We start from the raw sequence: 12,265 nt of genomic DNA, 5'->3' as shown, positions 1-12,265 counted from the left end.
CGCCACTGCCCTCCAGCCTGGGTGACAGAGTGAGACTCTGTCTGAAAAAAGAAAAAAAAAGAATTCATAAAGTGAAATAGATATATTAGCTATACTGCAGATGAAGAAGAGGAAGCATGAAGTATTTAAATAACTCACTGATGTCTCAAAGTGGAGCAATTATAGAGCAGGGATCCAAAGCCATGTCTATTTGGTTTGGAATTTGTTAAATTCCTGATATTTGGCAATTTGCTGTTAGTTGTCATGCTTGACAGGTTGTGATAGTCATGGTGATGTTTATTAGTTGCATTAATTTTTAAGAATCAACTTTGGTCACAGACCTGAGATACGTGCATGACTATTGCAAATAAGGACGAGAGTCCCAAATGTTAGGGAAGGGGATAGTCCTCTATGTTGCATTTTTTCCATCAGGCTCTATGCCTTTAGAAACAATGGGTGGTCCTTTGTTTTCTTCTATAACCCAAACAATCTATGATTATCTTTCTGCAGCTGTCCTAGTCAATTATCAGTATTATCTGAAGTTATATTATTTTAAATAGCACTGTCAGGAGCTCTGTATAACTGCTTTCTCTAAATTTACCATCTATTGATGAACCGACATAAAGATATCAAAACAACTGGAGACCAATATTAATAAACAGTAATTATATAATTGCAATAATTGCAATGGTTGATCTGTAAATACAATTGTGAGTTTCCTAGTGTTACGGAACCTTTGAGGTGTCGATTTCCTGGCCAGAAACCTCTGTGGCTGGTGGCACCTTTGCCAGAGTTCTTGTCCTGGGTCCAGGAAGAATGAGGTATGCAGACAAGTGGAGGGTGAACAAGACAAAGAGAAGCTTTATTGAGCATTAAAACAGCTCGGAGGAGACCCGCAGTGGGTAGCTCCTCTCTGTAGGCAGGGTGTCCTGAAGTCTGCCCAGCTCCTAGGAGAGAGGAGGCCCTGGAGAGGGTAGCTCCTCTCTGCAGCTGGTTGTCCTAACATCTGCCCAGCTCCTAGCAGAGAGGAGGCCCTGGAGAGGGTCACTCCTCTCTGAAGCTGGTAGTTCTGACATCTCTGCAAGTCTCTGAAGCTCTCAGCTGAGAGGGTAGCTCCTCTCTGCAGCTGGTTGTCCCATCATCTGCTCAGCTCTGGCTGAGTTGGGGATTTTATGGGCCTCAGAGGGGAGCAAGTGCCTGCCGCTGATTGGTCCATGGGCAGCCATGGGCAGGCTCGGAAAAGGCACCACAAGTTCCCACTCTGGTTCATGGGGCTGGCAGCCCAACCCCCAGCCTTCAGGCCCTCCTTGGCCAGAAGCTGGGGCCTCACTGGGGACCCACCCCCTTCTGCCCAGGAGTCTGTCTGCCTCCCACTGCCATTCATGGTGCCTGGGTTCAGCCTCAACTTTGCTCCAAGAATGGAGCAGGTGCCAACAGCAGGGAGAAGCCAGGCAGCAGGAGCAGGCATTTCTGAGCCTGTGAGGGCATGCAGGGCCTTCCTGGGCCCCCAAGAGTGCAGGGATGCCTGGGGCTGCAGCCGTGGTTTGGGTGGCTACAGCTGCCCTCGGGGAGGGCAGGGCTCCTGCCTGCTCCTGGCCCCCTAAGAGCACAGGGAGGCTCAGATCTGCAGCCACACCTTGGGTGGTGCTTCTGCCTGCTCTGTGGAGCAGGAGGCCCCAGTCTGCAGCTGTGCTGCAGAGGCAACCAGGGAGTTCCCACCCCAACTCAGAAGGGGTGGGTCTCCCGCTTGTCCCTGGCTCCCGCCAGAGAGCGTGCAGCCCTGGCCATGCCTCCCTGCTGCAGCAGTAGGCCGTCTGGAGCAGCCGCTGCCATCTCTAGTACAGTAATTCTCATAATTTTATTTTGCCTTGGTATCCATTTTGAATATGTTTAACTTTCTCATATGAGAAGCAGGGCTCAATCACCTTTGATACAGTTTCCAGTTCTCTGCTTCCTCCCAGTTCTTCAATGTGATCCATCCAGATATCTGCTTAATGCAACTGCTTCCTGGTGACCATCTCCCTATGGGACAGGTAAATGCAGCCTGCTTGACTCACCTGTTGACCTCCATAACCCACATGGACTGTGTAGATGGGCTCCAGTGACCACCTCACAGTGACAGGGTGACTCCATGGAACTTGTGCCTGCTTGTTCTAAACTCACCAATTAGAACTTCCATGGGAAACTGCTTGGGTAACACGCTGGACCCCAACAGAGGCTTTAGCTCCACAAGTGCCCCTTCCTTGACCCCCTTCCACTGGCTGAACTCCCTGTCACCTCCAGATTTACCCTCCCTCTGGTGACCACAAGACCAAATTAGAAAGAAACCATAACAATAAAAATCACAACACCCAGCAGTCAACATGTACATCATTATCAGAAAAGAGGAAAGATACAAAGGAAGCAAAGTTTTCCTTGTAGTAAACTTCAGGAAAATTTTCCTGCATGGAACTTTACAAAAGATAGAATAAAAAGTGGGCTGTGCATGGTGGCTCACACCTGTAATCCCAGCATTCTGGGAGGTCAAGTTGGGTGGATCACTTGATGTCAGGTGTTCAAGACCAGCCTGGCCAACATAGAAACACCCATCTCTACTAAAAATACAAAAATTACCCAGGTGTGGTGGTGTGTGCCTGTGATCCCAGCTACTCAGGAGGCTGAGGTGGGAGGATCATTTGAGCCTGAGATGCAGAGGTTGCAGCGAGAGGCGATCACACCACTGCACTCCAGCCTGGCCGACAGAGCCAGAACCTGTCAAAAAATAAAAAATAAAAATAAAAATAAAAGTGCCTTCAACATCATTTTACAGCAGATGCAGTAATGGAATTCAGTCTACTTTTTGTTTCTACATTGGATAAAAGTTGAGGACATAATGAAGGATGTTTTGCTTAGGACTAAAAAATACAAGAAATTTCTGTGGCACTAGACGTATGCTCATAGCAGCACACTTTTCAAACAGTATTCTTTTTTTTTTTTTTTTTTTTTTTTGAGACAGAGTTTCACTCTTGTTGCCTGGACTGGAGTGCAATGGTGCAGTCTCAGCTCAGGGCAACCTCCGCCTCCCGGGTTCAAGCAATTCTCCTGTCTCAGCCTCCCGAGTAGCTGGGATTACAGGCGTGTGCCGCCACACCTGGCTAATTTTGTATTTTTAGTAGAGACAGGGTTTCACCACGTTGGCCCGGCTGGTCTCAAACTCCTGACCTCAGGTGATCCACCTGCCTCGGCCTCCCAAAGTGCTTGGATTACAGGCGTGAGCCACCGCCCCCTGCCCAGTATTCTTAAATGCAAGCTTTCCCATTAGAGATCTGATAAAAGCTAGGTAGCATTAATTATACTGCAACGTGCTTTGATGAGTACCTACACACTAAATTGATATCCCGAGTTTCTGGAAGAGCTACATACTCTAAATCCCATCTCAGCGTATGGCTTGTTTGAACCCCTGTAAGACTCTTTCCGTCCAGGAAGGGCCATGGGACATCGGTACGAGTGGGTGGGCTGGAGAAAGAACTCCTTTGCCTGTTTGCTGTTCTCATCCTTTTCCTGAACGCCACGTAGTAAACATCATTTATGCTTATCAGGGACGCTAAACCAACAACCTGAGATCCATAAGTAAGGCAGTGACCAACGATGGGCTGCCACACTTTCAGCCAACTTGAGGAGACAAAACTTTTTTGTTCACTTTTGCAGCTTACTTAACACAGGACCGCAGGGCATGGTCCAGGGAGTACGGGGAGATAATTCCCTCCGGGTGGTTCTTATAGAAAAGTCTTCCCTGAATTATTCCATAACCTTGGAAAACTACTTTCTTTCCTTTTGTATTGGACAAACCATCCAATCTCGCTTGGAGAATGGGGCAAGGCCTCGGGTCACCGGGCTTCGGCGGGGCAGTGAGGGGCGGGAACACGGCTCCGGAGGGCGGGGCCAAGCCGGAGCGAGGCGGCGGGTCCGGACGCCGTGCGCGTGCGCGCGGCAGGTCGGCGCCGGGCGGGGGCGGAGCGGCCGTCGCAGGTCCACGCCGTAAACAGACAACATGGCGGCCGCGGTGGCGGCGGCACCTGGGGCCTTGGGATCCCTGCATGCTGGCGGCGCCCGCCTGGTGGCCGCTTGCAGTGCGTGGCTCTGCCCGGGGTTGAGGCTGCCCGGCTCGTTGGCAGGCCGGCGAGCGGGCCCGGCGATCTGGGCCCAGGGCTGGGTACCTGCGGCCGGGGGTCCCGCCCCGAAAAGGGGCTACAGCTCTGAGATGAAGACGGAGGACGAGCTGCGGGTGCGGCACCTGGAGGAGGAGAACCGAGGTGAGGTGCGAACGCTGGGCAGGCGCGGGGCAGCGGGCGGCCGCTCGCTCTCAGGACGGGCATAAGGTGCAGCGTCCGCCGGCAGGACGCGGGGTCGAGGTCAGGCAGGCGCACCGAACCTGGGTCCCTCCCCTTTCTCACCTCCCTACTCACCCAGCGTGGCCGCTTCCTTGTGCACCTATTTCTTGCTTTTAATAACCTAAACGTGTACCCCCGAGCAGCTTACCTGTAAAGTGACCGCATTCAGCGCGGCAAACAGAAGTGCAGCTTACGCCCTCCGCTCCAGACAAGCCAAGGTCAATATATACCCTGGGGATTTAATCCTTGCTACCAGGCTTTATTGTTGCTGTGTAATGGCTTTCTGTAAACTCAGCTATTAGTGGTGGAGTTGTAAAAGCTGCGGTGAAACTGCCTTTTATTATTACGGAGAATCTTAAATTTGAAGCTGCTCAGCTGGAACAATTTTTCCTCTTGTTCATTTTCTCTTAGAAAGTTAGTCTTGAGGGACTGTTCCACTTCATTTAAACAATTTTGAGCACTTTTTATTTTCCTCAGCTCTGGCGATAAGAATGTGGATGGTATGGATCTTGCCCTTGAGCTACCTTCTACGGGAGGAGACATCATTAGCAATACAATACAGAGCTTTGAAGGCTTTGAAGGAGGCTGACAATCCTAGGGAATACTGTTACAGCTCAGTTCCTTTCACTGGCAGTGCAGGGAAAAGCTAAAAGGGTCGTGAAGGGTGGAATAGCAGTTTCCACCCTTAACCTCCGGGTTAAGCCAGAGGACCAGTGTTTTAATTTTGACATGCATTTGTTGAGCACCTATAATCTGTTAAGCAGAAGTGAAAAGCGTGTAAGTCGTGATTGGTTTTAGTGTAGTGAAGCAGATCCTGGTTATTAGTAGGCTGTGTGAACTTTCAAGGCATGGTAAGAGGAAAGGGCTGTAATACCTGCAGGGTTTCGCCATTTGAAAGGGGTTCCAAGGCATTCTTTAATAGGCAGTGGATTTTGCCATTTGTGAGGGTTCTTGGGCAGACTTATCTCACGTGTAAAACAGGAAAAACAATACCAACTTTATAGGTTTGTTATGAAGATGAGATGAGATTGTTAATGTAAATTGCCACTAGCACGTAGCAGTGCTTCAGGAGTGTGATGAATGACTTTATTCCTTACTTATTATTCCAGACAGAGACAAGAACATGGTCAAAGGCATGGAGATGTGAACATGTGTGGTGTATTTGGGACGTAACATAAGGCAAGTGTGGCATAAGCAGAATAGTAAGAAATTCAGCTGGAAGCATAGACTAGCACTGGAGTGATTAGAGCCTGAATGCCATCATCTTTTGGGTAAGCTTAGTCATGCCGGGACTTCACTTCCGTTAAGTGTACCAACAATATGTTAGATATAAAGGGATTGCAAGTACAGCTACTAATATGCACCATATTCTATTTTTTTGGTCGTTATGACTTGAATGCAATTAAAGGAATATTTGTGCAGAATGTCTGGACAGACTTTAAGTTAGGATCTGAATGGACAGAAGAGAGAATATCAGATAATAAAAGATAATAAACGAAAATTTTTTTGGGTATCATGGTTTCTTTTTTTTTTTTTCTTTAGCCTTGATTTCCTGATGAGATAGGACATACATCATGGTTTCTTAAAGTTGACCCCGCCTCCTTTGAGAATTGGCAAGAATGACGACTCAGGCTTGGCTAACATTACCTAGGCTTTGCTTTGCTTTACTGTTGAACCAGCAATAAGCAGTGCAAAGAAAAACATGAGGTCAAGGGTACTACAGGTGAAGGAGTTTCCTGGGTGCCTTTATTTCTCTTAGAGGTGGGTCCAAAATTTGGTGCTCTCAGCAGCCTCTAAGGAATAGGATAACTCTCCTAGTCACAGGAGCCTCAAACAGCATGCAGCACTTTAGGTGGGTGGGGGTAAGTAGTGCAGAATACACCAGGTCTCATCTGTTATCTGGGCTCCATATTTGTAATTTGTTGTAGGAGGCATAGCTCTATAACCAAATTTCCTTTTCTTTTCTTTTTTTTTCTTTTGAGATGGAGACTGCCCAGGACTTTGAGGCTGCAGTGAGCTATGATGGAGCCACTGCACTCCAGTCTGGGTGACACAACAAGACCTTGTCTCTTAAAAAAAAAGAAAAAATGTATGAACCTATTTATGTAGAATAGCTCCAACAGAACATATGATCCATTTATGTAAAATAGCAACAACAAGCCAAATGGTAATATACAACTCTATTTCTGTATGTAGATACGTTGAACATTTTCTGGAAGGTTACATTACATGTAACTGTGATAACTGTGGCTTCTTCTGGGGAAGGGAATGAGCTGGTTCTAGGGAAGGAGGACTTTCACTTTGAGTGTATTTTTTCATTTTGTATAAGCAGAACGTATTTTGTTTTGTTTTTAAAGTCTCAGCAAAGTTGTTACATTCATCTTTCAGTTGTGTGAGCTTTATAGAGCAGGATTCATGCTGTGATGTGACCTTGTTACAGATTCACTGAAGATTTTTGTATGTTTTGTGAAAAGTCAGGAAAATTAAGGTTGGCATGTGAACGCCTAAGCTTTTCTGAGTTTGGTAAACTTTCTAGGTTATGTGAGGAGGATGCATGATAATTGAGTTCTTGAGAAGTGATTGAATTGTGAATTAAAGTGAGACAGTTATAAAAAAAAACTTTTAGACTTTGCTGAATAAAGCTAAGGTTTTATTCCATTTTAGAATACCAAAAGCCTACAGATACATTTGATGGTACAGTTGTTACATATTAGATAATTCATTTCAGATTGCAGAGCTAATTTCTAGCTTTTTGAAGTGGAAGTACTCAAAACATCAAGTCTCAGATATGGGACCAAAATTGCTGGAATTAACTGTGTTAGAAACATTTTGATGGCACTTTACCCTTCAGTAATAATGTCAGCATTATCATATCTAGCAGAAATTATGGTGAAACTTTTAATACTTACTGCATGAGAGGTGTTCATGCTAGAAGGGAGGTTAATTGGGTCCTCATGTTGTAAATTTTACATGTATCATATCATTCGATTCTAATACAGTCCCATGGAGTGTGGAACTGTTAGTATCTTAATAGAGTAAGAAACTGAGGATCAGAGAGGTTAAGTAACTTGCCGAATTCTTAATAGAGTAAGAAACTGAGGATCACAGAGGTTAAGTAACTTGCCGAATAGCTAGTAAGCGGCAGACTGGGATTTCATCCCCAGCAATCACACCTTAGAGCCTGCATTCTTAGCCCTTGGACGTTGTATCAACTTGGATGTCTGAAAGGCACTTCAGATTCACTTTAATTAAAAACAGAAACTCATGAGCTTTACTCCCCTCCACCCTCACCTTGGTAGTTTTATGATTTTGTCTCATTAAATGTCATCTTTCATCCAATTGGTGAAGCCAGAAACCTGGTAAATACTCCTTAACACTTTCTTCCAGTTAAATCAGTCCTCAGTCTAGGCATCATTAACTCATTTAAAATTTTTGAATAGTTCTTGAATCCTTTCACTTTCCTTTATTTTTACCACCACCAATCTCAGCCAAACCTGTTATCTGTTGATTGGACTCGAATTGTGTCTTGAAGCTCCCACCCCTGTCTACTTCTGGTATGATCTCCAAGTATAGAAACTATTCCCCCGCCAGTTTTATATGTGCATGTGTATATGTTTATACCTACGTAAACTCCTTCAATGGTTATTAGGATGAAGACCAGACTTTTTAGAAGGTCTGTAAGGATATTTCTGGCTTGTGCTGACCTCTTTACTTTCATTGGTCACTCTCTTCTCCCCCTCGTAGGTTACAGGACATTCAGTGGGACCATGACTAGTTTATGCTTTTCCTGTTTCCTCTGCCTGGCAGTCAGCCCCTCTCCTTCACTCTCACCTTGACTCCTACTTATCCTTCTAACCTTCACTGTCTGGGGTAAGCTTTCCCTAACCATCTCCTTTTGCCCCAGACCATTATCAATTCTGGTTACAAGTTACTGTAGCACCACTTACAGCTTGTAAAGCAGTTTGAATGGATTATTAATGATATTTATGATTATTAATGATTTCTATGATTATTAATGTTTGTATTTCCCTCCTAGACTCTAGTTCCATGGCTGCTGATCACTATAGTACGTACTCAGTATGTTTGAATGAATGGACACATCTAGTCTTAGCTGCTTGATTTTCTTCCTGAGGAAACTGAAGCTTGAACAGTGTAACACAGTTTTATTCAAGTATAGAGTTAGATTACCACTTAATAGCTGAAGGAAGTTACTTCACCTCTCCAAGTCTCCATTTCTTTATCCGTTAACTATTGATAAAAGTAGTGCCCACCTCTTGGGTTGTGGTGGGGATTACATGAGTTAATTCGCTTAAAGCACCTGGAGCAGTGCCTGAGGCCTACTGGTGGTAGCTGTTGTCAGTAGTATTGGGACCTACCCAAAGTCATTCAGCTGTTTAATACAGATCCTGTCAGATAGCAGTCCTTTATGCTTTTCTCTGTACTGAGAGCATTTGGAATTCTTGCAAATTTACTCTTGTGAGCAGAAGTTCATCTTTATACTTTAAAGAATGGGTCTGCACAGTTTCTTGCACAGCGAAGGCATGTGTACATTTTGTTGTCTTCAGTTTAGCTCAGTTGCAAATAAGAAACATACCCACCCTGACTCAGTGGAAGGTATTTCTGATACACTGTGAAAATTTGTCTACTCCAAGAACAAGAAGGTTAGTAGAGGTTGTGTAGAACTTTGAATATCAAATTAGGATCTTTGAAGTTGGATATTTTGAAATAAATAATGAAAGGATTTTAAGTAGGGGATGCATTCTATGCATAGTACTGTTTTTAGAAAATTGGTAACTGGAAGGAATGGGAGGCTGGGTTTAGGTGATGGTCTTTGATTAAAAAGTGGGGCAGTTAGGAGTGACAGCTGGGTTTGTGGGAGAGATAATGAACTTTGTTTTGTATAGGTTGAGTTGGAAGTACTTCTTGGACATCTAAATGGAAGTGCCCTCAGGTTAAGTATATCAGACAGAAATCAGGAGAGAAGCTTGGGATAGAATTACTGAAAACTGTGTAGTATGAACAACAAAAAAATGGAGATATTAACAACTGGTCCTAGAAAAAGCAGATGCTATAATACCTGCATGTGACAAGGTTTATTAGCGGTTACTTTGGTATCTACTTGAAGATGATGAAACCACATTTTAAATAGTATCCTTTAACTTAAAATTTTCACTAATAAGTCTAGTCTTCCCTCTAGTTTGAGTTAGTGATGTAAAATTTACCAAAATGTTGCAAATTATCTTGGTGCTTAAGAAGAGATCGATTGAAGGGAACGTGATGTCATGAATTTCTTTGATTTGTTAAGTTCGAAGCTAGCTAGATGTGTGATGTAGAGTCTGTTCTCTGAATGCCTTGCTCACTCAAGTGCTTGTACTTTTTTTCCCCTTTAACTAGGAATTGTGGTGCTTGGAATAAACAGAGCTTATGGCAAAAATTCACTCAGTAAAAATCTTATAAAAATGGTGAGTGTAAAGATTAAACTGTTTGCTTCTAATATTAAGATATATTATTGTCATCAATGTAAAAATGTTTTGTTTTTTTTTTCTCTTTTTCCTCCTATGCTTCCTATTTCTGTTTAGCTATCAAAAGCTGTGGATGCTTTGAAATCTGATAAGAAAGTACGGACCATAATAATCAGGAGTGAAGTCCCAGGGATATTCTGTGCTGGTATGTAAATATGTTGTATTATGAAATTAAACTGTAGTCTGATTTTTCCTCAATAGTAATCTGTTTTCCATTAGAATGTTCTTTGGTTTGAACCCCATTACCAACAACTCCTCTTTGTCTGTGTTTTACTGATTCACAAGAAAAAAACATGCTTAGTCTGTCAGCATTAGAAAGAAGCTTTTGCAACATTTAGATTGTTTTGGAAGTTGAAAAAAAATCTTTGAGCCATTAAAATACTTGTTTGTAGTACCTGTAGTACATGTAGTACAATGTTGTTTGTTGTGTCTTAATTGTGGCCAATATTCTTTAGTTTCATTCTTTTTTTTTTTTTGAGATAGAGTCTTGCTCTGTCACCCAGGCTGCAGTGGCGTGATCTTCGCTTACTGCAACCCTCGTCTCCCCAGTTCAAGTGATTCTCCCGCCTCAGCCCCCCGAGTAGCTGGGATTACAGGCGCCTGCCACCTCGCCTAGCTAATTTTTGTATTTTGAGTAGAGACAGGATTTCACCATGTTGGCCAGGCTGGTCTCGAACTGCTGACCTCAAGTGACCCACCATCTTTGGCCTTCCAAAGTGCTGGGATTACAGGGGTGAGCCACTGTGCCTGGCCCCTAGTTTCATTCTTAAGGATTCTCAATTTTTTAAAGCTTCAATCTCTGTGGCTTCTGCCTTAAAATATTGCAGAATAGTGTGATATTTAGAAATATGCAGTGTATTTTGGCTTTTGATAAGGTTTTATTGCCTCCTTAATACATTTCTTAAAATGTAGGATACCGAAAAGAATTAGTTTTAATTCCAGTTGAGTAACCAAAGAGTGTAGGTTTATTACTCCCAGCTGCTAGGGTTATGGTGTTATGCAGTACAGATTTCTGTTTTCACATTTGTCAAATGTGAGTAATACTGTCTGCTTAGTAGGAGTGCTTATAAGGGTTTTATGTATATTTTGAGTTCTTTGTTTTTTTAAACAATGTGAAAGACTTATATCAAGAGAATTAGGATTCTTATGTCTAGATCATATTCACCAGGTGAATATGATCTTGAGGTAAAGGAGTATAACACATGACTGATGGTTGAGAGGTTCTCTAAAGGTCATTGGATGGCTTATTGGGAAGATACAGAGTAGCTTTAGGGTTTTTAAAGAAGGCCCAATTATATGAATTTTTGAGGAGTGATATCAATGTTGTGAAGACAGATTAACATTTTAAAAATAAGTGTTAGTGGTCATCCCGGCATTGTTTTTCTGTTGGCAGTAGGTTTTATAATTATTGCACTATAGTTACTGGTGGAATTCTTTTTATTTTACATATTCTTTTGCAGCCCATTTGTTCTAGATTTCTGCATTAGGAATATACTTTGAAAAAAGCTTTAATGCTTTAGCACAGTTTGTGGATGTCTGTTACAGATTGCCTTTTTGAGGACATGCAAAATGTCCTCAAATAATATACCACATGCTGTTTATTAGAATAACATGTTAGCCTTGAGTACTTTTTAACAAGTTAATTTAATCTATTTACTTTGCTTTATGTGCTTTTAAACTTTCGTACAATCAGGATAATCTTTTAACTCAAGATTTGTGACTGTATTTTGTCAACAAAAGTCAGTGTCTTAATTATAGAAAAATTGGGGCATATCATTCTCTTTTAGTAATTCAGTGTATATGATGGAACTGTTCTTTCAGATTTCTCCGAAAGGTTTTCCTTTCTTGTTTTTTTTTTTGAGACGGACTTTCACGCTTGTTGCCCAGGCTGGAGTGCAGTGCCACGATCTTGGCTCACTGCAGCCTCTGCCTCCTGGGTTCAAGTGATTCTCCTGCCTCACCCTCCCGTGTAGCTGGGATTACAGATGCCCGCCACCACGCCTGGCTAAATTTTTGTATTTTTGCTAGAGACGGGGTTTCAACATGTTGGCCAGGCTGGTCTTGAATTCCTGACCTCAGGTGATCCACCTGCCTCGGCATCCCAAAGGGCTGGAATTACAGGCCACACATGGCCTCTTTTTTACATGTATTTACATTTATAAGCTGACCAGTAGGTCTGTCTTTTTTTTTTTTTTTTTTTTTTTTTTGAGACGGAGTCTTGCTCTGTCACCCAGGCTGGAGTGCAGTGGCACGATCTCGGCTCCTGGGTTCACCCCATTCTCCTGCCTCAGCCTCCCGAGTAGCTGGAACTACAGGCGCCCGCCACCAAGCCCGGCTAATTTTTATATTTTTAGTAGAGACAGGGTTTCACTGTATTAGCCAGGATGGTCTCGA

General features: G+C 43.3%; 1 protein-coding gene across 20 annotated transcripts in view, besides 2 other annotated features; it reads left to right on the top strand.

Moving 5' to 3' along the window:
• Nucleotides 866-1,066: a silencer, noted in NCBI's record as "peak7289 fragment used in MPRA reporter construct". NCBI's record gives its function as "represses an SCP1 promoter by STARR-seq MPRAs in K562 erythroleukemia cells {active_cell/tissue: K562}" and the evidence as "EXISTENCE:reporter gene assay evidence [ECO:0000049][PMID:32103011]".
• Nucleotides 3,811-4,250: a silencer, noted in NCBI's record as "silent region_20025". NCBI's record gives its function as "represses an Ori minimal core promoter by ATAC-STARR-seq in GM12878 lymphoblastoid cells {active_cell/tissue: GM12878}" and the evidence as "EXISTENCE:reporter gene assay evidence [ECO:0000049][PMID:35858748]".
• AUH (AU RNA binding methylglutaconyl-CoA hydratase) overlaps nt 3,981-12,265 on the top strand; it is a 148,096-nt gene continuing 139,811 nt past the window's right edge. For 8 of the 20 annotated variants that reach the window (XR_007061324.1, XM_047423525.1, NM_001306190.2 and 5 more), the window contains exons 1-3: nt 3,981-4,271; nt 9,744-9,811; nt 9,929-10,016. Coding sequence is in view for 17 of the 20 variants with exons in the window: in XM_047423525.1 (XP_047279481.1) it covers nt 4,010-4,271; nt 9,744-9,811; nt 9,929-10,016 (418 nt within the window). In the remaining 3 variants the exon portion in view is untranslated. Of the gene's footprint in view, nt 4,272-4,335; nt 4,568-5,458; nt 5,621-8,385; nt 8,416-9,743; nt 9,812-9,927; nt 10,017-12,265 lie in introns of those variants that run through there. The other 12 variants (XR_007061323.1, XM_006717150.4, XM_005252067.5 and 9 more) reach the window with 5 other exon arrangements.

This window comes from Homo sapiens, chromosome 9 (genome assembly GCF_000001405.40).
Source record: "Homo sapiens chromosome 9, GRCh38.p14 Primary Assembly".
Lineage (NCBI taxonomy): Eukaryota > Metazoa > Chordata > Mammalia > Primates > Hominidae > Homo > Homo sapiens.
Note: the sequence above shows the minus strand (reverse complement) of the source record. Positions and strands in the feature narration are given on the sequence as shown.